This window comes from Homo sapiens, chromosome 6 (genome assembly GCF_000001405.40).
Source record: "Homo sapiens chromosome 6, GRCh38.p14 Primary Assembly".
Classification (NCBI taxonomy): Eukaryota; Metazoa; Chordata; class Mammalia; order Primates; family Hominidae; genus Homo; species Homo sapiens.
The window spans coordinates 37,647,108-37,672,707 of NC_000006.12; the positions used below are offsets into that span (position 1 = coordinate 37,647,108).

General features: G+C 50.1%; 1 protein-coding gene across 6 annotated transcripts in view, besides 1 other annotated feature; it reads right to left on the minus strand.

The window, feature by feature from the left end:
• The window catches only part of MDGA1 (MAM domain containing glycosylphosphatidylinositol anchor 1), a 67,205-nt gene that overhangs the window by 16,429 nt on the left and 25,176 nt on the right, over positions 1–25,600 (minus strand). For 5 of the 6 annotated variants that reach the window (XR_926141.3, NM_153487.4, XM_017010734.2 and 2 more), the window contains exons 2-10: positions 16,860–16,999; positions 11,138–11,312; positions 8,593–8,789; positions 7,693–7,825; positions 7,167–7,436; positions 4,904–5,233; positions 3,002–3,298; positions 1,875–2,159; positions 66–217 (exon numbers count right to left, since the gene is read on the minus strand). Coding sequence is in view for 5 of the 6 variants with exons in the window: in NM_153487.4 (NP_705691.1) it covers positions 66–217; positions 1,875–2,159; positions 3,002–3,298; positions 4,904–5,233; positions 7,167–7,436; positions 7,693–7,825; positions 8,593–8,789; positions 11,138–11,312; positions 16,860–16,999 (1,979 nt within the window). In the remaining variant the exon portion in view is untranslated. The remainder of the gene's footprint in view (positions 1–65; positions 218–1,874; positions 2,160–3,001; positions 3,299–4,903; positions 5,234–7,166; positions 7,437–7,692; positions 7,826–8,592; positions 8,790–11,137; positions 11,313–16,859; positions 17,000–25,600) is intronic. The other variant, XM_047418638.1, reaches the window with a different exon arrangement.
• Positions 1,599–1,698: a silencer, noted in NCBI's record as "silent region_17144". NCBI's record gives its function as "represses an Ori minimal core promoter by ATAC-STARR-seq in GM12878 lymphoblastoid cells {active_cell/tissue: GM12878}" and the evidence as "EXISTENCE:reporter gene assay evidence [ECO:0000049][PMID:35858748]".

Consider the following 25,600-nt stretch of genomic DNA (forward strand, 5'->3'; position numbering starts at 1 on the left):
GCATTTCCAGGGTCAGCCACACCACACTCCACCTGCCCCCAGGCCCCCGCTCCCCCTTGGCCCACCTGGCGGATGCTGAGTCTGTAGTTGAGCACAGGGTCGACAGCGTCGGGCTCCCTCTGAGTCCACTGCAGCACGTAGGAGTAGTTCTTGGACAGCTTGTGGCTGCGGGTGGGGTTGGGGGTGTCGAAGTAAAACTCCGGGCTGTAGGCTTTGGCTAAGAGGGCGGGGAGGGGGGCATTGGGCCGTGGAGGGTGCAGGGGAGACACAAAGAGAGGAGGTGTGGGAAAGGGAAACAAGAGGATGAGGTGGAAAACAGAGAGGGGACGGAGAAACAAAGAGAAAGGGAATATTGTGAGGTGGGGAACGTTGGGAGAAGAGGGGATTGGGGAAAACGAGGATGGGATAGGAGGGAAAGTGGGAGATGGAGACAGGGAGATTGGAAATTCCAAGAGGTGATATTGGTGAGAAGAGAAAGGCAGGCCGAGAAAAAAACAGAGTAAAGAGAAATTTAGGAAGACACAGAAAAGGGATATGAGGGAAGATGGGGAAAGAGATTGGGGGAAAGACACAAGAGTCAGGGATATTGGGAGGAAAGAAAGAGAAGGGAGAGGAGGGGAATAGAGAGAGGAGTGGGGAGACAGGGAAAGTGTGGGAGAACAGGGGAGAAGGGAAGGAGGTGGGAAATGTCACAGGGGCCTCTGGCTGGCAGGGCTGGGTGGAGGGGAGTGGGGAAAGGGCCAGTGACCTGCCGTCCTATCCCCCTGCTGTTGAGTGAGGGATTCAAACAGAAGCTGAAGGGCCACTTAGTCAGTTGGGTGCTGCTGGGAAAGCTGTGTATGCCACTGAATGGGGGACAGACATCCCCAGGCTCTGCTCCAGGGGCGCTGCCACCAGCTTTTGCAGGGAGGCGGCTCTCCTCACATGGAGGAAGACCATCAGCAACCCAGGCAGCCCCTCTTGTTCCCCTAGGCCTCCCTCACCACCACCTCCACCCCTTTCTGACCCACCCATTGCCACCTGCAGCCCCTGACAGCCCACCTGAGAATGCCTCGAAGAGCTGGGGCTGAGAGGGGTTTCTGGGCACCGAAGGGCCTGCACCTCTAGGGTGCCAGCTCACGAAACGTGTGCTGTCTGGCCCAGTGCCCCGCAACAACGTTCCAGAGAAGCTGCTGAGGGGCGTCTTCTCTCCCCTAAACTACACCTCAGGCTCCCGAAGGGTTCCCCATCTGTAGCCTCAGGGGTCAAGGACGAGCGGGGAGGGGCTGAGATGGGGCTGTGGCCTGGGCTTGAGGGGCTCTAACGCTGGTGGAAGCGGGGCTGGAAGGGATGCTGCCTGCTGCTGGAACGGCTGGAAGCTGGGATTGGACCGAGCTGAAAGGGGTGGAGCCTACGCCTTACGCAGGCGGAGCCCAGACGTGGCTTGGATGGGTTTCGAAGGGGTCTAGGCCTGGTTTGGGTGCTGGTAGAGAGGCGAAGCCTAGGCCTGTGGGAAGGCTATGTTTGAAAGCGGCGCGGTTGTCACACGCCCAGGAAGCGGGCTGAGCTGTAATGGGCGGGGCTTAGGACTGGTATAGGCATAGGCGGGCCTTGGAAGGCGAAGGCCTCAACCTCAAGGGAAGGTGTGAGTGGAGGGGCGTGGCCCGCACCTGGAGGGCGGGGCTGGGAGGCCCAGGTTGGGATCCGAGTGGCACGGGGCGGGGCCTGGCCTTGGCGTGGGCGGGTCTTGGAAAGGCCGGGGCTAAGCCTGGAGTAGGTGGGCTTCAAGGGGGCCAGCAGGCCCACCCAGGCAAAGAATCACCCGGGCTGGGATTGGGGCAGAGCCTGGCCCCTGGTGGGCGTGGTAGGTGGGGCGGGACCCACTGGACGCTCACCGGAGACCTGGAAGAGGCAGGCAGCCGAGCCCACATCGTTGGAGACGCTGCACTCGTAGCTGCCGCTGCTGTCGCGAGTTACGGCGTCGAGGCGCAGCTCCGCGTGATCCGGCGCCTCGGCGGCGGCGGGAACAACAGGCGGCGGCGGCAGCAGCTGCCCTTTGAAACGCCACACAGCCGAGGCGATGCGCTGGGGGCTGCCTCGCAGCAGCGAGCAGCGCAGGAGCACGGGCCGGCCCAGCGCCTGGCGCACGTCCTGGGAACTGGGCTCCACCTCCGGCGGGACTGGGGGCGGGAGCGGCGGTCAGCGGGGCCTCTCCCCAGCGAGTGGGGCCTGAGGAGTGGCCCGTGGGGAGGCAACGCGCTCGCCTCTAATGCCGTGAGCCCCCGCCAGGAAAAATCCCAGGGCGGATGCACACTCGCAACACATCCCTCCAATGGCCACGATCTTACCTCCCAACCTGCAGATACCCACTCCCTCCTGGCCATTCTCTCCAGCCATGCTTCCCAGACCCGGCCTCCAGTCACGCCCTAAGTGGGCCCCTCACCCCACGCCCACCCCAAGCAATGAAATGCAGGATAACGCAGGGGTTTCGCGCATAATCTCTAAAGCTAGATGGGCTGGGTTCAAATCCCAGCCCTGACTCTGTGAGACTTTAGGCAAGTTACTCAACCTCTCCGTGTCTCGGGTTCCCTGTTTGTAAAAATGGGGGAATAATAGAATCTATTATAGGGCTGTGGGGGGTTCAATGAGTTAGTGCATTAAAACTCTTAGAACAGTGTTTGGCACATGGTGGTAATTTTCATCATCCTGTTATCAGACAGTGTTTCCCTTGAGTGTCCTTCCTCCTCCTTCAAAATCCCATTTCCACCTGGCAAAATCAAGTAATTTTTTTTTTGTTCACCGGGTCCCTGAAAATGAAGATGGGAGATACTTGATGAAATGGAGCAAAGAACACAGACCTCCGTGTCCTACAGCATGGGGCTGTCAAGGAGCATTAGGGGTATCAGGAGTAGCTGGTGGGGTTTGGTTGGACTGGGGTGGGTGAGAGGATGAAGAGGGGACAGGCCGGCTGGGAGCCAGAAGGAAAGCTGGGAAGGTAGTCCGGGTGGCGTGGTGGACTCACACTGCACGTTCAGCTGCACCTGGGCCTCACGGGGGCGCACGTTGAAGCCATTATAGCGGGCCGTCTGGCAGCGGTAGGTCCCGCTCATGTCTCGGCTCACTCGCTCCAGCCGCAGCTTCCCGTCCGGAGTCTCCTCCAGGGGCAGCCCCGAGGGCAGCAGTGCAGCCTCCTTGTCCACGCGGGACCAGAGCACTGGCGGCCGCGGCTTGCCCCGCACCTCGCATTGCAGCTCGGCAGGCGATCCCTCGCGCACGGTCACCACGGCCCTACCCTTGGGCACACTGATGGTGGGCGGCACTGTGGGGGTGATGGTGATCAGCGGAGAGGTAGGAGCGGAGTTAGAGCTCCCCACTGGGCTCTGCCTTCTGGCTCCTGCTTACCTCCCGCTAGGGGCAAGCCTCTCTCTCCCATCCCAGACTTCCGACTGGTCCCCCAGTATTTCCAAAGCAGAACTCACTTTTCCAAATCCTCTCCATCTCCTGGGTCTCCACCTCAGTGTCTCCCAACTCAAAAAGAGACCTGAAGTCAGCCTGGCCTATATTCCTTCTTCCCCAGCACTAGTAAGTACTAGGGATTCCACCTCTTAAACATTTCTAAATATATCCATTCTTGGTCCTTCTGTCCTACTCCGGGCCCTGGCCTATTTAAAGACTTCATCTTCTCTTGCCCTAGTGTGTTATCACAGGCTGCTAGTCTGTCCTACATCCTTGCCCTTTCGTCCTAAGTAATAGGATACCTAGTTTTCAGCAGGGCTTATAGCCACCCAGAAAAAAGAGTACATCTCCCAGCCTGCATTATCGTTAGCTACAGCCACGTGACTAAATTCTCGCCAATGGGATACTAAGGAAAATGAGGGCGTTTAAAAGAAGCTGTACCCCTCTTCTCCTTCCTGCAGAAAAGAATGCAGAATAATGGCTGCAGCTGGAACTGCCATCATGGGCAACGTGGCACATGCTAAGGATGATGGAAGAGCAAGCCAGGTGGAGCCTGGGGCCCTGAGGACTTGGTGGAGCAGAGCCCCTATACTAGCCCTGACTGCTCACCAGCACAGTTTTACATGAAGAAGAAATACACATCTAGCTAGTTTAAGCCACTGTTAATTAGGGTTATTTCTGTTAATAACACTGTTAATTTCTTTTATTCACGGCAGAACTTAATTCAACCCAACACATTGCCCAATCAGAGGGTCTTTTGAAGACTTCCATGAGTCCCATTGCACATTACATCAAACAAATTAAAATGTACCCATGTTCCACATTAAATATAATTTAAATACAAAGTTCTTATTTGTAAATAGCTCTACAAGGCAAGCTGAGGTCCAGTGATCTTGTTAGTATAATATATACTCTATAAACATTTATGCATTTATTGGCTTGAATTATGCAGTTGTTTCTTTGTATTTTGGAACCAATTAATTTATTTTTCCGGGCCCTTAAGACACTTCCATGCCCTAGACATCAGGCCTATGAGCCAAATGGAGGAAACAGCCCTGGGCCCCTGCTCTAGTTCTACTAAGACATTCCAACTCCCAAGCCCTCTACACACCGTACAGGCTAAAGAGTAGTCTCTCCCTTTGAGGCTGCACTGCCCTCAGGGAACTCTTTCCAGGCTCTCATGTATCACAGTTTGCAATGATATATTTATTTGTGAGACTATCTGAAACGTGTTTGCCTTTCCTCCTAAGCTCTATGAGGGCAGAGCCTGTTTTGCCCACCGCTCTACCCCAGGACCTAGCACAGTGCCTGGCATATTAACAGGGACTCAATAAAAGCACGTGGCATGAACAAGTGGTGGCCTCCTCACTCTGGCTTCCCTTTCCCAAGCCGTTGCCTCCCCACTACCTCCTGTCTGTGGGCCTCTCCACCCCCCTCACATTTCCGCAGTGCCCCTCCAGCTGCCCACCTGTCTCAGAGGAGATGTTGACCTCGACGCTGAGGTCGGGCACGGGTGCCCCTGGGAAAGAAGCCATGCACAGGTAGGTGCCATAGTCACTGAAGTGCAGGTCAATGAGCTCTAGGCTGCTGGTGACTGCGGGCAGCTCAGGATCATTGCGGGTCACCAGCAGCCGCTTGGACATGCGTGCCGGCTTGCCATTCTTGAACCACTGGTAGGTCACCTTCTCCTGGGGCACTGCATCCACGTGGCACGATAGCTTCAGGTCCTGGCCCAGCTGGATGTTCTCACTCTCTTTGATCACGTCAGGAGTGATCTGGAATGTAGCGTTCTTCATGGCTGTGAGTGGATGGGGAGGGAAGGGTAGTTGGGGTTGGCCTGACTCCAGGGGTCCATGTCCCACCCCAACCCAGACCCAGCTTCTCCCCTCTAGCTGGCCCTTCTGGGGATAGGGGGCTACAACTCCCCCAGGTGAAACTATCACTTTTCTCTGCCTGGGAATTGTTTCATTTGTTCAGATGTGCTTTAAAAGTTCAAAAAAGGTCACTGCAGAAAAGCAGTTTTGGTAATAACAGAATATACACTATGTGAGAGGCACTGTTCCAAGCACTTAACATGGATTTACTAGTTTAACCCATCCCAGAATCTCTGAAGGAGATGCTTTATTACCCCCATTTTACAAAGAAGGGAACTGAGGCTCAGACAGCTTAAGTAACTTGCCCAAAAAAGTAGCCAATCTTGAATTCAAACTCAGAGTCTGAGCTCTTGACCCCTACAATGCTTTGTTTTTATCATTGTTTTAAACTTTAAATATGCAAAATACACATTTGGAAGCATGCACTAGAATATAACAGTGGTTCTATCTAGAGAGTGGAACTGAGGAGAATTGACAATTGAATTCTTACATTTCACTCTTTTGTGCTGTTTGACTCTTTGTAATAAGTGAGTGTAATTTTTGTAATAAGAGACCAATACGATCACTTTACATGCAATTACATGAAAACACAGCATTTGGAAAGAAAAAGGTCTGGCCTCTTAAAAAAATGTGGATCATGTTTGAAATAAGCCAAGAGTTAAATCGAGTTTTTAATCAGGTACCCAACCTTCTGGACAGGACACTGGCACAACAGGCACAAGTCAGGTCTGTGCTGGGAAAGGCGGGCTCTACAGCCACCCTAAGAGGTGACCATAAGTATTTGATGTAAATTGAGATCTTACCAACCCAGGCTTAAAAGGCCAAATGGAATCAGGTGGAGAAAAATAATCTTCTGATGGGAAAAGTACCATCGAAGGAAAAAGTAGTCATTAGTCACAGTTTTAAACCTTCTTTCTTGCTCTGATTAAGTAAAAAGTCACAGAGAGCTAGTTTCTTTCTGTGAGGAGAGTCAGAAAGAAACTGACTGGTCAGTGAGAGATGAAGAGAGTCCATGTAATCAGTGACTCTCAGTGGAGTTCGGCAGAAGCTGTACTTTATGTTCAAGTGCTAAAGAGCTGGAAACAAGCCTGGATCTTTAAAAAGAACAACCAAAACCAAACAGGGAGTGTATATTCAGGGCAACTTGAATCGATGCTCTCAGGTAGCCAAAATATATTTTAAAAAAAAGAAAAGAAAACAAACAAAATCCCTAAAGCTGCACAAGCAGAAAAATTTAGTTTTCTCCTTAATTCAGAGTGTCAAAATCAAGATCATAGTGAGCAGTTAATTACTGAGGCTGAGGTTTAATAAGAAAAATGTTTATACTTCTTTAGACTGTGCTCAAAGTTTTGTATCATTTTTCATTTAGTAATTATCTTCAGATTCACTTAAATACTTCCCTAATAAATATTTCCATATAGGGCATATGGAAATGTGTGTTATTTTCACTTAAATTCAGTTAATCACATAGAAACCACTGTACAGGGAGAAAGCCAGGAAATTACTCTTGAAGCCTAGAATGTCCCCATTTAGCTTTTGCAGCCTCAGTTTCCCAATCTTAAAAAAAAAATGTAGGTAATCAATCCTAGCCCTTCCTACTTCTTGGATTGTTGAGGTTACATTTGGAAATGTAGATTGTCAACTGTCAATAAAGCTTTATACAAATTTTATTCCTTCTGCCATCTGCTGGCAGTTAGCTGAATTGCAGGGAAATCGAAGGGCGTGGAACATCCTCTGCATGACTCATCTACCAAGGAGAAGCAGACAGGCCCCTTTCCTAGTTCATTGGTAGCTCCCAAAGACCAGGGACCTTGTCTGCCTCACAACTTCCCTCCCACCCCTTCTGAGGCCACGTACATCGCACCAGCAGGTTGACAGTCTTCTTGGCAGGGTTGCCCACATTGTTGGTGGCTGTGCAGTTGTAGTAGCCAGAGTCCCGGGCCTGCACTGAAGGGATGCTGAGGGTGCCACCCTGGGCCAGAGCACCCAGGGGCAGTGGGCCAGGCCCATGGGACCACTGCAGCTGGGGGAGGGGATCACCGCCTGTCAGCAGACACTGCACCGTCACATTCTCCCCAGGGTTCACCACCAGAGTTTCGTTCACAGACAGCTTCAGGGCTGGTGGTGCTAAGAGGACAAGGAGGGGGGTCTTAGGGGACTGTGAGGCAGGGCTGGATGTTGGGGAGAGTAAGGGGCTAGGAAAACCATAGAGGCTGGAGAAGCCCTCAGGGGAGATGAGAGGGGAGAAGACGGAGCAGGAAGAGGAGGGGAGGGGCCAGACATTAGTGGCAGTGTGCCTGGAGTCCCTGTGGGGTGGGGCACTATCTCCTGGTTGGGAGTTAGCTCAGGTAGGGAAGGAGTATGGGGAGGAAAATGCCTGTACCCGTGGTGTTGGTGAGCCGGAAGGTGATGGCCTTGTCTGGGATGCCGCACACGTTACGCACAGACACCTGGCAGGTGTAGCTGGCATAGTCCTGGGGCCGCAGGTTCTTCAGCTTCAGGACCTTGGTCTCCCCCTGGGCAGCAGTGGACCACTGGGGTGAGGTGCCTGCTTGAGTCTCCAGGGATCCCGCATACTCATTCACCCAGCACCAGAGCCTACCACAAATGCCTGTCTAATTCCTCTCTTTCCATCCCCAACCCCACCCTCACCATTTAGCCCCAGGGGTCCTGAGCCTGGGGTGGATGCTACACTCTCCATAGCCTTGGCAGTGCCTCATCATGGGATTCTCTGGGTCTGAGGTTGCCCTTGTGCACACTGGCAAGTACCAGGCCTTGGTTTCTCCAGTCTGGGAAACGGAGGGGTAAGAAGGGAACTTACTCGTACAACCCACACAAACATGGGGCTGGCCTGCAGCCACCGCTGAAAGCCCTCCTTGGCAGAATGGCATCACCACCATCTCCTGGGACTATCAGGGCCCATGGGAAGAGGAGTCATCTCCTCGCCCCCAGATCCTGCTGTGCCTGGCCACAGGTTCCCAATACTCTGCCACCCAGCAGCAGACTGGGATGACCTGTCTGCCCCTAGGGGTGCCTTTTCCTAACTAGCAATGTTCCTGGAGGACATGTTGCCTCGGGGACACTCCTGCCCTCATTGCTGCTCCCTGACCTTTCCATCTGATTTTTCTGCCCCAGGCTGTCTGAACTCCAATCAGAATGTGTGTTTCCAAAGTAAGAATAGAATTGTTGAAGTCAAGGCAGTCCCAAAAACTCAGCCCCATGCCCCCCTCCCCTGTTGGATGCAGGAGAAGTGGTATGGGGCGAGCCAGCTGCCCATCCTGACCTGAGTGTAGAGGGGCTCATAGATGTCAACCCCATTGTCCTGGCTGTGGGATAGGGTATCGGAACCCCGCTTCCAGATGAAGCGGGCAGGCGGGTTGGAGTTGACAGTACAGCGCAGGAACACCGTCTTCTCCTGGTAGAAGTTGCCTCGCACATCGCTCACCGTCTGGTGCACCGTCAGCATTGGCTCATCCAGGTCTGCAAGGGCACAGCCCCCATGGAGTCAGGACTGGGTGACCCCAAGGTTGGGGGGCTCAGGCTCCTGGCAGCCCTTAGGAAGAGCTGAGCCACCCTCAACAGACATTTCCAGATTGCCAGATGCCCTCTCAGCCCTGCAAGCTTAACTAACCTGTTAGAGGCAGGGGATAGGACTTTTTCCTTTTTTTTTTTTTTCTTTTGAGACAGAGTCTTGCTCTGTCACCAGGCTGGAGTACAGTGGCACAATCTTGGCTCACTGCAACCTCTGATTCCCTGGTTCAAGCAATTCTCCTGCCTCAGCCTCCCAAGTAGCTGGGATTACAGGCATATGCCACCATGCCCAGCTAATTTTTGTATTTTTAGTAGAGGCGGGGTTTCACCATGTTGGCCAGGATGGTCTCGATCTCCTGACCTTGTGATCTGCCCACCTCGGCCTCCCAAAGTGCTGGGATTATAGGCATCAGCCACTGCGCCCGGACTCTTTTTTTTTTTTTGAGACAGAGTCTCACTCTGTCACCCAGGCTGAAGGGGAATGGCGCAATCATCGCTCACTGCAGCCTCAACCTCCTGGGCTCAATTGATCCTCCCACCTCAGCCTCCTGAATAACTGGGACTACAGGCATGCACCACCACACCTGGCTAATTTTTGTATTTTTTGTACAGACAGGGTTTCACCATATTGCCCAGACTGTTCTTGAGCTCCTGGGCTCAAGCAATCCTCCCGCCTCAGCCTCCTGAAATGCTGGGATGACAGGTGTGAACCACTGCATCCGGCCAAGACAACAGGACTTGATGCCTTCCCAGACTTCCTCTGAGCTGTGCCTCCCAGGGACCTGCATGAGGGTGTCTAGCTTTGCAATCTCCCATCATGGGATGGAGGAAGCAGCTGCTTCTTCAAATCCTAGTTTAGCTGTTAATTTGTAGTGTGACCCACCTAAGTCCCTTCTCTCTCTGGGCCTGTTTCCTCATTGGTAAACTAAGGTAGCTTAGTAGTTCTTGGCCCTGTTTGCCCAAGAGCATTACGTGGAGATTTTCTTTTTAATACTGATACCTGGCAGAGCTCATTGATAGTGTCAAAAGTCAGAACAATGATTGCCTCCCAGGGGGGAATTATTGACTGGGAGGGGGCATGAAGGAACTTTCTAGAGTCCTGGAAATGTTCTATCTCTTGAACTGGAAGTTGTTTACACACACACACATATGTAAAAAATCATTAACCTTTGCACTTAAGATTAGTACACTCTATTGATTAATCCTCACTTTAAAAAAATAATTAAAAAGCTTAAGAAAGAATCGATATTTGGCCCCACCCCTGATCAATTACATCAGAATCTCTGGAAGGAAGCCCCAGGCATCCGTTTTTTTAAAGGGTCCCCTAGAGAGCTTAATGTATGGCTGTGAGTCACAGGCATTGACAGTACACATTCCAACATCTTGCAACGAATGTTCCAGCAGCCCATCATTCTGCCCCTTCCACAGCCTACTGGGATAGAAGTCACCACCATGGCCATGAGAGGAGGTGGGCATTGGTGGGGTCCAGGCTATGCCTGCCAGCCTCTTCCAGGGCCAATAACCTAAGAAATGGCCCTCAGCTCCAGGGTTTGGCAGGACCCTGGCTAGCTGATGAGGGACAGAAGAGAGGTCTGGGGTGTCAGTGTTCATCACTCTACTGAGTCCCACTTAGGGAGTGTGAGGATGTATAGCTAATAGGTAGGTTCATTATAAGCCTTAAAATGGTGCCAGACAGGCTCCTGGGCCTGGGCCAACAGTTTCTGGGTACCTGACTCAGCCTGACGGATGACTCAGGAAAACAGGCTCCTCGGGCTAAAGGATTACCCGTGGAGAGCAGGTAGGGACTGGCAGCTTCTCATGCAGCTAGCAGCTAGGACCTGGGGAGTGGGGCTTGGTCCTATATGTAATGTAGTAAGGAGGGAAATCTCAGAGCTGCAGCAGGACAAAAGCAGAGACATGAGGTACTGTGGGAAGGGCAGCGGACAATGGGGAAGAGATCTGTGTCTTCCTCTCAGCTCTGAGGCTACCCCGCTCCATGCCTGTGGGCAAATCACATGGGACCTCAGTTTTCTCATCTGCAGAAGGAGTGTAAATCAACCCATCCTGCCCTCCCTGCTCACCTCAAGGGAAGTTGCAAGGTTCATATGAGATTACAGGTGCGAAGGTGTAGATGGTAGAGGGTGGTACACACCGCCTGGTACCTCTTAGGCTCCTCCACCAAGGTCAGCTTCTCCGTTCCACCCCATGCCCACTTCCCCACCTCACCTCATCCCTGGGGCGCCCTCTGGCCCGGGCTGGGCTGTCAGGGCCCGGGGAGAGAGGGGGCCTCAACTCACACTGCACGTCCACGCGGATGGACTTGATGGCCGGCACCCCCACGCCGTTCTCAGCCTTGCAGTAGTAGCGGCCGCCCTGCGTGCGTGCAATACGCTCGATGCGCAGCGTCTCGTTGAACACCGATGTCTCCTGGAACTTGTCCGAGGCGCTACCTGCCGTCTTGGTCCACCGTACCTGGGCCGCCAGGCGGGGCAGAGTCAGACTGTCAGACTCACACGGGGTGGGGGCCTCAGCGCTGAGTGCCCTGCAACGGCACCCCCTTTCTCCCATACTTTTTCACAAGCGCACGTGGGGCACACGCAGGCCTAGGAAACGAACCCAGACAGACTCGTGGGAATGCACAGACGGGGTAGAATGCCACGGAGTCAAGAGCTGGGGAATCCGGGATCAGAGGGAAGAGGCTTTAAATGGGGCGCGCAGTGCCGTGGTTAAGAGCATGGATTCGGCCGGGCACGGTGGCTCACGCCACTAATCCCAGCACTTCGGGAGGCCAAGCGGGCGGATCACCTGAGCTCATGAGTTCGAGACCAGCCTGGCCAACATGGTGAAACCACGGCTCTACTAAAAATACAAAAATTAGCCGGGCGTTATGGCGCGCACCTGTGGTCCCAGCTACTCAGGAAGCTGAGACAGGAGAATAGCTTGAACCCGGGAGGCGGGGGTTGCAGTGAGCCGAGATCAGGTCACTGCACTCCAGCCTGGGCAACGGAGCAAGACTGTTTCAAAAAAAAAAAAAAAAAAAAAGACTGATTTCCATCTTGGTCAGTCATTCCAGGGAAAGCCAGCTGTCAGGTCCTGAGCCGCCCAATGGAGGGGCTCACTTGGGGAGGAATTGAAGCCTCAGGCCAACAGCCGCGTGAGTTAGCTTGGAAGTAGATCCTCCAGTCTCAGTCATCCTCCAATGACTGCACCCCTGCCTGACAGCTGGATTGCAGCCTTGTGAGAAACCCTGAGCCACAGCCAGCCAGCTAAGCTGCTCCCGGGTTCCTGTCCACAGGAACTGTGAGACAGTACATGTTGTTTGAAGCCCCTAAGTTTTGGAGTATTTGTTATGCAGTAATACATGATTAATACACCATGATACCCATTCTGCAAGATTATTATGAGGTTTACAAAGAAAGTATATAAATCCCCTATGTGCGGTGTCTGGTATACATTAGTCACTCAACAAATTTCTATTATTATTAATATTGTCTTAGATTATAGAAAAATATCAAGGATTGCATGAGAAACCTAAGCCTACTACTCAAGGTGCCAGAGTTTTAAGAAAAACAGATCAGTTCTAGATAACTAAGTCTAAGGAGTGGGGTAGAGATAGGGGCAGTGGGTAGGGACTTCAGTCTTTAAGTAGGGAGGCTTGTTTATTACAGAGACAGGGCAGGCAGCCTGATCCTCATGAACAGGTCAGGCCAGAGGCCAGAAAAGCAAGGCTGGGGAGAAGGGGTGAAAGGGCAACCTTTCTCATGCAGGGAGGGACCACCCAGGACCACAGTGTTGCTGCTCTCATCCCCTGCCCGCATTTGACTCTACCCTCATGGAGCTAGAGGTTACAAAACCTGGGAAAAGTTAGAGGCAGTTTCAGGCAAGACATACCAGATCAGAGAGTTCTTTGGAGAGATAACAGGGACATGAAAACATTTGATCCTTTTGTACTTGATGTTTTATGTTTACATAAAACATTTTGTCTAGATGGAGTTTGTTTACATACTGCTCAAGCCTTGGTATGCTTTATGCATCTGAGAGTTCCTACCTTTTTTCAATTCTACAAAATTCTCAGTCTTTATCTCTCTCTTTTTTTTTTTTTAATCACTAGAGATGAGGTCTTGCTCTGTCACCCAGGCTGGAGTGCAGTGGTACTCTTGGGCTCAAGGATCCTCCTGCCACAGACTCCCAAGTAGCTAGGACTACAGGTGTGTGCCACCACACCTGGCTAATTTTTTTTTTTTTTTTGGTAGAGCTAGGGTCTCACTATGTTGCCCAGGCTGTTCTTGAACACCTGGCCTGAAGCAGTCCTCCCACCTTGGTCTCCCAAAGTGCTAGGATTACAGGTGTGAGCCACTGCACCTGGTCCTTCATCTCTTTAAATATTGCCTCCTCTCTTTTTCTATTCATTCCTTCTGGAATGCCTAAATTTATGTTGTAGCTTCTCATTCTATCCTCCATGTCTCTCAACTTCTTTTTCACATCTCCTGTCTCTTTGTCTTCCCTGGACTCCATTGGAAATGCATGGCTGATTTCCTCAGATCTATTATCCAATTCACTAATTTTTTCTTTAGCTATCTCTAGGGTACTGAGGCCAACATTTTTAAAGACTGTATTATTTTTATTTCTAGGATTTCTGTTTGCTAATTTCTGTACCTAACTGATCAGGTTTTATAATCTCCTGTATTATGGATTCTATTCCTTCCATTATCTCTTCCAATATTTAATTTTTTTAAATTTTGAAGATCCTTTCAAATTGCTCTGTTTTCTCTAGTTCCTCAGTTGTGAATTATTCACCTTGTTGGGTCTATGGACTGACTCTTCTGGCACTGTATTTTTTAATATTTTAAAATTTTACTCCACAGGTTTGTACTCAGTGGGATTATCTTCCATAGAAGTCCTACTTGGACTTTTATGGTCCTGTTTCTCATTCACTACTTGGGTATAGGTGGTTGCCTATACCGAAGATCATGGATTCATATGTCCAAAACATTTTTATGTTGGTTTCTCAGGTTAGGGTTTCCTCACTATTTGGATATTGCAAAATACAGACAGATTTAGGGTTATGCTATCTCATAGGTGGCTACATTTTTATCCACACCCTGAAGGACAGTCTGTTCCCTGCAGTGAGTCTGGGCTGTGGGACAGAGATCTTCTGGTCCTCATTCATAGATGATGCCACTCTTGTTGAGTTTCCAGCTTTAGGTAGAGTTCAATTCCAGCTCCCAGCCATGGATGGACCTGTAGCCTCAATGCATACCCCTTATGTGTGTGTTAATACAACTATCAGTAGTGTGTATGCAGTGCCAGTCTCTTCATGGGCTAGGCTCCTCAACTTCTGCTACCTGCCATCACTGTAGATTCTGTCTGCATTTCTGGCCCCCAGATATCCCTCCTTCTCACAGCTTGTTTGGAGTGAGGCACTCCATGTTCCCTCAGTCCCTTAGTCCCCCATCTTGACCACTAAGTGGGCCATGAGATGATATTTCCCTTGTTTCTCTAGTAGTCTGGATGCTCCATGAGAACAGAAACTATAGGGGCATCTTTAGGACCCATAACTTTGCTTGGCATGTAGCAGATGCTCAATAAATATTTCTTATAATGAAACAAGCAAAAAAACTAGAAGGCATTTTAGGAGAGGCAAGCAACTTTGGCTAAAGCAGGAACGAACAGATATGTACTTGGGGATGATGGGGAGGCAAGTCTGACTAGAGCACAGGGTGTGAGGAGGGTGGCAGTGGGAGATCAGACAAGAGAGGCAGGTGGAGGCCAGATTGTAGAAGGTCTTCGATTCCATCCCTAGGAGCTTGAATGAATCTGGTAAATGAAGGGGAGCCATTGAACATCTCTGAGCAGGGGAGTGATATGATGTAGCACAACAGGGGTTATCATTCTGGTAGCAAAGTGCAGGAACAGATTGAAGGGGGCTGGGTGCAATGGCTCATGCCCGTAATCCCCGCACTTTGAGAGGCTGAGGCAGGAGGATCACTTGAGCCCAGGAGGTCAAGACCAGCATAGGCAACATGGTGAAAACCTGTCTCTGAAAAAAAAAAAAGAAAAGAAAAATTAGCTGGGCATGGAGGCGCATGCCTGTAGTCCCAGGTACTTGGGAGGCTGAGGGGGAAGGATTGCTTGAGCCCAGAAGGTCAAGGCTGCAGTGAGCCTTATTGCACAACTACACTCCAGCCTGGGCGACACAGCAAGACCCTGTCTCGAAAAAAAAAAAAAAATAGATGGGAGGAGGGGTGAGGTGAGAGATTGGGAGGTCAGTTTAGAGTCTACTGCAACGGTCCAAGCGACAGGACTGATAGGCTGACCCAGAGGGGTAATGAAGAAAAGAGAAGAGAAGACCCATGCAAGAAACATAAAAAGAAAGGCGTGCCAGTACAGTGCTTCACATCTGTAATCTCAGCACTTAGGGAGGCTGAAGCAGGAGTTCAAGACCAGAGTTCAAGCAAGAGTTCTAGGCTTGAAGCCAGGAGTTCAAGACCAGCCTGGGTAACATAGGGACACCCTGTATCTACAAAAACAATTAAAAATGATCCAGGCATGGTGACACACACCTGTGGTCTCAGCTACTTGGTCAGATGAGGTGGGAGGATCACTTGAGCACAGGAGGTCAAGGCTACAGTAAGCTGTGATCACACCACTGCACTCAGCCTGGGCAACAAAGTGAGACCCCATCTCAAAAAAAAAAAAACAAGGAAGGCCTCAGAGTCTGGCTAGATGTGAGGAATGAGAAGATGCAAGGTCAAATATGAGCCCAAGGGTTTGCGCCTGGGTGGTAGAACGAATGAAACCACTGATGGAAATAGAAAACCACGTACACATACACACAGCCACAATCACACATGACCCATACAGGGACACCCAAGGGGACACACACAGATGGCCAGTGCAGCCTTAGGGAGAATGACCCAGAGGCCTCACTGGCTTTTAGGGAGGACCCTCCATCCTTTAATGATCACACCTGACACAGACATCGACCTACTCCAGCAGCATTGTTTTCCCTTCTAAAACACTCCTTTAAGAAGGAGCAGCAGTGATCATAGCTTTTTGTCCATCTGCCTGTCTCAAGGCCGAACCTACTAAAGCCATCTATGTTCCCAAAATGATCTAGAAAAAAGAATTTTGTATTTCATTGTCTTTTCTAGGATCCAACTGTCACCCTTTCTGTTGCTATTAAAGGTCACAGTAGCTCACCAGCAAATTCCTCCCATCCCTTCAGCCCACCTCCTCCCTACTTCCTCCCCTCAGCTCTCAGTGATCACAGGCCAGTGCTTCCTGCCTGAGCCATACACTTCGACGGTGACAAAATTCATCTGGCATTCCCAGATTCTTATTTTCTGTTTCTTTCTAATTGCTTTGGATCTTTGAACCTCAAGGGTGTGAAGCTTGCCTGCCAGAAACCTGAAGTAGATAGAGATCACGTTTTCTATGCTGATTTTCACTCCTGAAGTTCCCAACTCAAAGATGGACATGCTGGGAGGAAGCAGAGTAAGCTAAGAGGACACTGGTTCTGGATTCAATGTCTGCTTCCATCCTCACAAGAGCTGCGTGCGCTTGGGAGTTTACCCAACCTCACTGAGTCGCAAATTCCTCAGCTGCAAAAGGGGGTCACTAATGCCTTCCTCACTGCACAGCTGTGAGGCTCCACAGGGAAAACACTGGAGAAAGTGTCTGGCACCGTGCCTGGCACATGGTCTGCCCACAGACACATTAGAAAGTGCATCTAAGGATGTGTCTGCTCAACAGATCCGTGGAATGGAGTGGAATTGAACAACCGGCATTCCATTTTTCCCCTCAGCCGTCCATGTTTTCAGGTGAATGAGCCCATAGCCTCCAGCCCTTCCCCACAGAGTTAATTTTCCTGCTATTTCCCCAGCCCCCATCTCCTGTTCTCTGCCTCCATGCTGCGGTGCATCGTGAGTCCTCATCTCCTGCTGCCTCTTCTTAAGTGCTGAGCCTAGGCAAGGTGAGGGTAGGAGGGGCCTGAGCAAGGCTGGGCTGGGGGCTTACCTGGGGTCGAGGGTGCCCTGTTACAAGGCACTGCAGCATGAGGGTGTCCCCCTCCCGGATGGTGTAGACACGCTCGCTGATATTGTCCTCTTTCACCACACATGCCTGGCCCGCATGCACGATCTGCGCCTGGGCTGGAGCTGGCAGGAGAGGATGGAGGAGGAGGTTTAGAGAAGAGGTGCCAAGGCCAGAAGAAGTCTGGGGCTCCCTCCTGAGTGTATCTGGGAGGGGTCAGCCCAGATCTCCCCAGGCCATTCCTCAGAGGCCTGACCCCACTGAGCCCAGGAAAGAATCCTCCCAGGACCTCTAGGACAGAACCAGGCGGGCCAGGAACTCAGGAAAGGGACAGTTCCCCAACCCCTTGCAAGAGAGCTGTGCTTTTCAGTGGGCTGATTGTGTGAAGGGGCTTTGTCATCTGTACAGACTGGTCGTCACTCAGTTAGCATCACCATCTTAGCAGTCCTGGCGGTGGATGCCATCGGTGCCCCTCCTGGCTCCCCAAGGTGACAGGTGCATCCATCCCCAGCTGCTGACAGCTCAGGGTGCTCACCTTCCCCAGGGAATTGCCTTTAGCCAAGAGAGCTGCCTTGGCCAGAAATGCCAAATGCCTAGATTACCCCCTCTCCCCCACAATACACACACACACACACACACACACACACACACACAGAGGTGGGGTGACTATGGCACTGTCATACTCCAGAGCTCCCCTGGAAACAGGCTGAGACTAAGCTTCCTGAGCCACATCTTTGCTTGGCTGCCTCACTCATTCCCTCAGTTTCTCTTGAGAGCATTTTCCCAGCAAATCACTTGGCTAAACCATAACTCCCCAGCCCCAACCATCTCAGGCTTTGCTTTTAGAGAGCCTAACCTAAGACACACACACACACACACACACACACACACACACACACACACACACACACACACACACACACACGGCTGCACATTGCCCTCCCTGAAGGCCTTCATTGTTTTTTCATTGCTCTCTGAGCCTGTGTCCAGCTTCTTCTCCAAGGACAGAAATGCTCACAGAAGTTGGGGCCTGGGAGCTGGCAAAAGGCTGCGGCTCCTCCCTGACCTCTCTCACAGTGCCCAGGGCTGAGCTGTGGCCCAGGCTAGGGGACCAAAGCTAGGCCCTGGCTGGATGGGCCCAGTGGGAAATGACTGAACTTGCCAAGGTCACAGCCCCTACCTCATTGTCTAGCCCCATCGTCCTAAAGGCAAACCAGGTCCCAGCCCCCCAGTGCTTAAACTCTAGGAAGAGGAAAAGACCCTAACTTCACAGGTTCTGCTCACAGGTGAGACGGGAGAGAGTGAAGGTAGAAGGCCTGATACTGGGCACGAGGAACACAAGGAGGTAAAAATGACATCCCTGCTCTAAAGAGGGGCACAGGGGTGTTAAAATAGAAATCATAAGAGTGATGGAACCGACTCTGTGGCTAAGAGATATCAAATTACAAACAGGACCTAAGGCCATGCGAGGCCCGGGGTAAGTCACACCCCCTGCACTTAAAGAATAAGCTATGTTCTAGCTGCCACAAGGCTTTCTGTTTTCTCTAGCAGCTAAACAAGCCCTGGCCTGGAGATAAGCAATGCTGAAACAATTGCCGACCATCTACTGCCAGACACCGACTAACTGGCCTCCTGTTCCACCAGCCATAACTACACCTTTGATCAGACAAGAGACTGATTTCAGTAGCTTTCTCTTGATAAAAGACCAGCAACCATGGACTGGTTCTGGCCAGTTGACAGAGGCTGCCCACTAAGTGCCTTTGTGTCTTCTGTGTCACCTTTTGACACATAGGCAAGATTTGTGGTGCATTTAAACGTTGTCTGCACCCCAAAGTGAACATGAGACGCATGTAACATGCACGTTTGCTTACTATGCATGTGTGCATTCCCCCTTTGTGAATATTCATAGCTCCTCCCATAACCTCTTGAAAATGTATACCTGGCCCACCTGTTCAGCAGAAATTCCTGTCTCACCTTTCCTCCTTCAAAGTGACTGCTTTCAGTCTCTGCCAGAGGCTACACTTCCCAGCCTATTAGGATGGCTACCCCATAGAACGCAATCCTCTATAAGAAATAAAGCTCTCGGCTGGGCATGGTGGCTCACGCCTGTAATCCCAGCCCTTTGGGAGGCCGAGGCGGGTGGATCACGAGGTCAGGAGTTCAAGACCAGCCTGATCAACATGCTGAAACCCCGTCTCTACTAAAAATACAAAAAAAAAAAAAAAAAATTTAGCCAGGCATGGTGGTGCGTACCTGTAATCCCAGCTACTCAGGAAGCTGAGGCAGGAGAATTGCTTGAACCTGGGAGGTGGAAGTTGCAGTGAGCAGAGATCGAGCCACTGCACTCCAGCCTGGGCCACAGAGGGACACTCCGTCTCAAAAAAAAAAAAAAAGAAAAGAAAAAAAAAGAAATAAAGTTGTCTTCTCTGAATTTATAATTCTCATGATTCTTCAGTTAACAGAGGTAAGAAGATAAATAAGATAAAGCCTGTACAGAATGTACAACTTCCTCCAGGAAACGTCCCATCAGTGACAGGCGCCTTCCTTCTTTATGTGTCTAGAGTATGCATCACTCCATTAGTGCAATAATAAAGCAGCAGGCCTGTGTTTCTGTCAAATTCAGGATTCTTGTCTTTCTGCCTACCAGACCTTGAGCTTTATCTTGGGATCCCCAGCACAAGGCCTTGAACATAGCAGGTGCTCAGTGAATGTTGAACGAATGGATTTATAAAGATGTCCCAAGGTGAAGTTGCTGGGGGACATAAGAGAGATATAGAAGGCCCTGGGATGTCAGAAAACAGGCATCACCATCTTCTGGAGGAAGAACCACAGAGGGGTCCATGGAAAAGGTAGCTTTTGAACCAGGCCTCAGGGAACAGGGAGGCTCTATGCTAGTTGACAGGGCAGAGTCCCAAATTATATTACACAGGGTAAACCTCTAGTGATCTTTGGACATTAGTTTTCTCATCTCTAAAATGAAGAGAACACTACCAACCCTAAGAACTCACAACGGTAGATGTGATGATAACACAGGATAAATGAAAAATGCTTAGTAGAGTCGTAATGTGTTTTACAGATGCTGCAAGTAGGGCCTTCCCCCAACACTGATGGGACAGACATGAACTAATCACAGAGGTAGAGTCCACAGAGGTGGCCCGGCAGCAGGTCGATAAACTTGGTCAGCAACTGGGAGTGACACAGGCTATGTTTAACCACAAGGGTCTCTGCAGACAGCAGCGGGTTCGGTGGACAGTGGTAGCTGCTACCAACCCAGAGTCTGAGTGTCCAGGTGACCATCCTGCCTGCCTGGCTGCCACAGAGGAATGAACCTGGCTGGCTGTCAGGAGACAAGCAATGTATGCCTTGGGCAAGCCAATTCACCACCTTGGGCCTCAGTTTCCCTACCCATAGGAAGGATAGATTAGATGACTTCTGAGGTCTTTTTCAACTCACACTTTCTATGAATTTTGTAATCAGCACATAGTCCCTATATAAGATGCACTCTAGAATCTGGGAACTGGGCCCAAAACTGTCACCTCATGCAATAAAAATGCATGAACATCTTTCACGATACGTGAAAGAGATAGCCATCTGTGGCCAAAGTCCTCGGGAAATCTCATCAAGAAACAACCCACCAAAAGATGATGTGCATGCTGGTTGCTGATAAGACCAAGAGGCCTGGGGTGCCTCTCAACAAGGAAGACATCGATTTAACAGGCTCCAGTGGAAGATAAGCTGTAATCTTGGACACTGTGGCTTGCCTGTAGCAAGGCAGTATTGTAATGACAGAAGCTTTGGTGACAGATAAGGAATACTGAAAAAGAGCTGGAGAGCTGGACTTTCTTAGAGCACAGCTAGCACAGGCCAGGGAAGATGAAGCCTGACCAGCAGACACAGGGCCTCTGGTCACCTGACAGGTGTATTTCCCCACTGGAGATGGGGCCATGAGTGGATATCAGAGATGACACTGTTAAGATTATCCAGCTCCTGGCCAGGTGTGGTGACTCACTTACAATCCCAGCACTTTGGGAGGCTGAGGCGGGAGGATCACTTGAGCCCAGGACTTCTAGACCAGCCTGGGCAACATAGTGAGGCTCTGTCTCTACAAAAACTGCAAAAATTAGCCAGGCATGGGGGTGTGTGCCTGCAGTCCCAGCTATTCAGGAGGCTGAGGCAGGAGGATCATTTGAGCCCAAGAATTCAAGGCTGCAATGAGCTATGATCATGCCACTGCATTCCAGCCTGGGCAACAGAGTGAGATTCTGTCTAAAAAAAAAAAAAAAGGTGATCCAGCTCCCTTTGATGACCTTAAGTATTAAGACACCCAACTCTAAAATGCTAGAATCACTTTGAAGAAATTCAGGCAGTACCTACTAAAGGTAAACAGGTGTATACTCCATGATGTAGCAATTTCACTCCTGGGTATGTACCCAGTAGAAATGAGTACTTATGGCAACCAAACAATAAGTACAAAGATATTCACAGTGGCTTTATTTGCAATTGCTAAAAACAAGAACAACCTATGTGTCATCCATCAAGAATTCTATGAGTAAATAAGTTCTGGTATCTTCATACAAAGGAATATTCCCCGTTAAGTGAAAAAGGTGAACTATAGATAGACATGACACTGTTGAATCTCACAGGCGCAATTTGAGTGAAAGAACCCAGACACAAACATACAGTGAACTGTAATGCTAAAGACAGAAAATAAAAAGAATAGTGTGTGATTTCATTTATTCAAAACTTAAAACTGGAAGAACTAATCTTAGGGTAACAGAGGCCTAACACCGATTGCCCTTGGGTGGGGTGGGAGATTATTTGCTGGGAAGGGCACAAGAGAACTAACTTTTTCTCTCTTTCTCTCTCTCTCTCTCTTTCTTTTTTGAGACGGAGTCTAGCTCTGTCGCCCAGGCTGGAGTACAGTGGCACGATCTCAGTTCACTGCAACCTCTGCCTCCTGGGTTCAAGCAATTCTCCTGCCTCAGCCTCCCGAGTAGCTGGGATTACAGGTGTCTGCCACCACGCCCAGGTAATTTTTGTATTTTTAGTAGAGACGGGTTTTCACCGTGTTGGCCAGGCTGGTCTCGAACTCCTGACCTCGTGATCCACCCTCCTCGGCCTCCCAAAGTGCTGGGATTACAGGCATGAGCCACTACACCTGGCCAAGAGAACTTTCTTGGGGAGAAGAAGAGATCCCATCTGGTGAGATGGAAATGTTGGACATTTTGATCTGAGTGGTGTTTGCACAGTGTCTGGATACACAAAAACACATCAAGGTATCTGCTTTGGACTTCACCATATTATACCTTCTAAATTACACCTCAGTTTTTAGAAAACAGCATCCACTGTCCTGGGATGATATTAACCATTGAGATTATCCAGGATAACCCATTTACTATTATAGTTACCCAACTCCCTTTATTCTCACTGTTACTTGATGAGGCACTTCCCATTGCTGATTTGGTTCCAGGTACAGTTTTCCTTCTGAAATGAGTCCTCACTAGTAGTACATTACCTAGTGCCCCTTGGCCTTGGCTTTTCAATTTGCTCATCACCCCCCACTGAGTTTCTTTAACATGAGTCAGCCTCCCATTGGCTCAGGTCACCCTTGGAATGGCCAGAACCATGTTTCTGACCCTGAACCCCAAAGGGTCCCTGCCCCACTGAACCTCAGCCTCCATCCAGCTCCACATACCCTAGGAAGGCACTGCCTGCAGCAGCATCTCCTGATTCGGAAGGCAACCCAGGCAGGGCTGTTTCAAGATACACCATGACACGATCCTTTCACTCAATCTGTCGAACAATAAATGCTTCTGGGCCAGGCACTGTGCTGGGCACTGGAGATACTGTCATGAAAAGCAAACAAGAGATGGCTCTCAAAGAGCATTGCTGGGGAGATGGATAGCAAAAAAGGAAACAGAAATGGACAGGGTGATTTCAGAGTGTTAAATGCTATGATGACTCGAAAACAGGGAGATGTGATAAGGAACCATGGGGAGAGGAAAGGTCTGCTTTAGAGAGATGGAAACAGCACAGCTGTGGAGTCACACAATCTGGGGCCCATTCCTGGCTCTGCTACCCACTAGCTGGGTGATGCTGTGTGATGCTGAGCAAATTACTTAACCTCTCTGAGCCTCAGCCTCTTCATTTATAAAATAAGAACAATGATGCCTTCTCCCAGGGCTGCTAATGAGGGGCTAATGCAATATATGTAAAACACCTGACCAAATAGTATGTGCTGTCTCCATAAATGACAGCTCCCAAGATGATGAAATAGGAGCAAGAGATAGAGAAAGGGGACCACCTGCTATGCACCCGTACACATGCAACCCAGGGGTGGAAATGCTCAAAGCAGACATTAAACGGGTAGGGATGTTTCATGAACATGTTCAAAATTCATGCTGAGGGCTGTGCAGGGCTTCAGAGGGGATGGAAAGTGGGAAGGGCTGGAGCCCTTCCCCGAGCATCCCCCTTCTCATGGTACTAGTGCACTTGGCTGTGTGGCTTTCAGCAAGTTACTTAAGCCTTAGTTTTCTCATTTGCAAAATGGGGTTGTTGTGAGGAATAAATAAAGAAACTCATGTAAAGTGTTTAAAACAGTGCCTGGTACGCAGTATGCAATCTAAAAATGTCAGCCAGCATTATTATTCTATAAATGATCCTGCACTCCTCTCAAGAATTCACATCCCCTGCAGCCTGCAAGCCGTTTGCATGAAAGGACCCTGCCTTCTCTGTCACAGATGATGAGGGTTGGTACCTTCCTGGGGTCCACTGTATATTTCCAAGCTCCTTGCCTCAGTTCTGCGAAGCAGAAAGGGAAAGTCATATTTAGCTCCATTGGCAGAGAAGGAGACCAATGCCTGGAAGAGGAACCGTCTTGTCCAAGTCACTCACTGAGACAGCAGCACAGCCGAGACTCAAACCCAGGCCTTCCACCTGCTAACTTGGGACTCTGTTCATTGTCCCCAGGAATTTCAGAGGCATGGCTGGATTTGATCATCTTTGCTTGACACCATATTAGTGGATAGAAAACTGAACAGCATTTCAGAACCAAGTGTGCTTCCTTGCCTCTGGTCTATGACACTTTCCTATTTTACTCTCCTGATTTCTATCAACAAAACCCCATGGAAAAGGAAAACAGCCTCTGCCAACCTGTGTGCCACAGAGTGTTCACTGATAGTCCATCACAGACGATTTTCACTGTCAATTAAGGATGCTGCATGTTCTTTCTCTCGCCCTCTCTGAGAAAGACTTAGCACACAAAGTATATTATTGAAGGCTCTGAAAAGTCCTGCAGTAAACACATCTGTGTAACTTGGTTTAACTCAGTGCTTTCTAAACGTATTGGCCATAAACCCCCTTCTTCGCAGAGCACAACATCCTGAGAGACAGCAATGTTCTGTAAAATTAGTGGAGAAAAGCTTAATACAAAACTGACAGCTGAGGGGTTAACATGCCCCTCCCCAGTCCCTTAGTTAAGAACAGCCAAGTGGCCTGAGACATGTCACCCTTGGGGCAGCATCCTAATGAGCACAGCCGAGGCAGAATGCTGCTGGCCTATCAGCTTACTCTTTTCCTCCCCAAAAATTATACACCCAAAATGTATAGTTATGGGTAGGGGCTTCCAGCACCCAGTAGGCCCAGTGAGGAAGCCACAAACTCTCAGGGAGTCAGACTAAGACAAACTCCAACCTGCCAACTAAGGGTCCAAAGAGAATTCTCACTGTAATGGGGGAATTTCATCAAAGACCCCCATCCCCCATAAGAGAATCCATGCCCAGCTGCTATAGCCACAGGTAGGGGTGCTATAAAATGCATGTGGATACAACACTAGGGTGAGGGCCAAACAAGACAGACAGCAAGACAAATGGAAAACCTTGATTAAAAGCACCTTCAGGCCTATAATCCCAGCACTTTGGGAGGCCAACGTAGGAGGATCACTTGAGCTCAGGAGTTCGAGACCAGCCTGGGCAACATGGTGAAACCCCATCTCTACCAAAAATATAAAAACTTAGCCAGCATGGTGGTGCACACCTGTGTTCCCAGTTACTCGGGAGGCTGAGGTGGGAGAATGGCTTGAGCTCAGGAGGTGGAGACTGCAGTGAGCTGAGATCATATCACTGCACTCCAACCTGGGTGACAGAGTGAGACTCCATCTAAAAAAAAGAAAAAAAAAAAGTTCCTTCAGGCCGGGCACAGTGCCTCATGCTTGTAATCCCAACATTTTGGGAAGCTGAGGCAGGAGAATTGCCTGAGGCTAGGGGTTCAAGACCAGCCTGGGCATCATAGCAAGACCCCATCTCTAAAAAAAAAAAATTTTAATGAGCTGGGCATGGTGCCACATGCCTGTAATCCTAGCTAAGAGGGAGGATTGCTTGAGCTCAGGAGATCGAGGCTGCAGTGAGCCATGATTGCACACTGCACTCCAGCCTGGGCGACAGAGCAAGACCCCTATCAAAAAAACAAAAGCTCAGCCAATAATCAATGAAGAGGACTGTTGCCCTCTTCCTGCTTCTGGCTCCTTCAGGGAAAGAGTCTGCAGGCTGGGAAATGACCAAAGAACAGGGTGAGGAAGGGGCAAGGAGACAAAAGGAGAAGGAGTGGCTGCAAAATTCCCCGCCCAGAGTTGGTTCTATCTGCCCACAGATGACAGAGCAGGTGCCACCACCCCAGCCACCTCCCAGAAGCATCACTGAGTGTTCTGGATGGAGTGGTACAGAATTGGG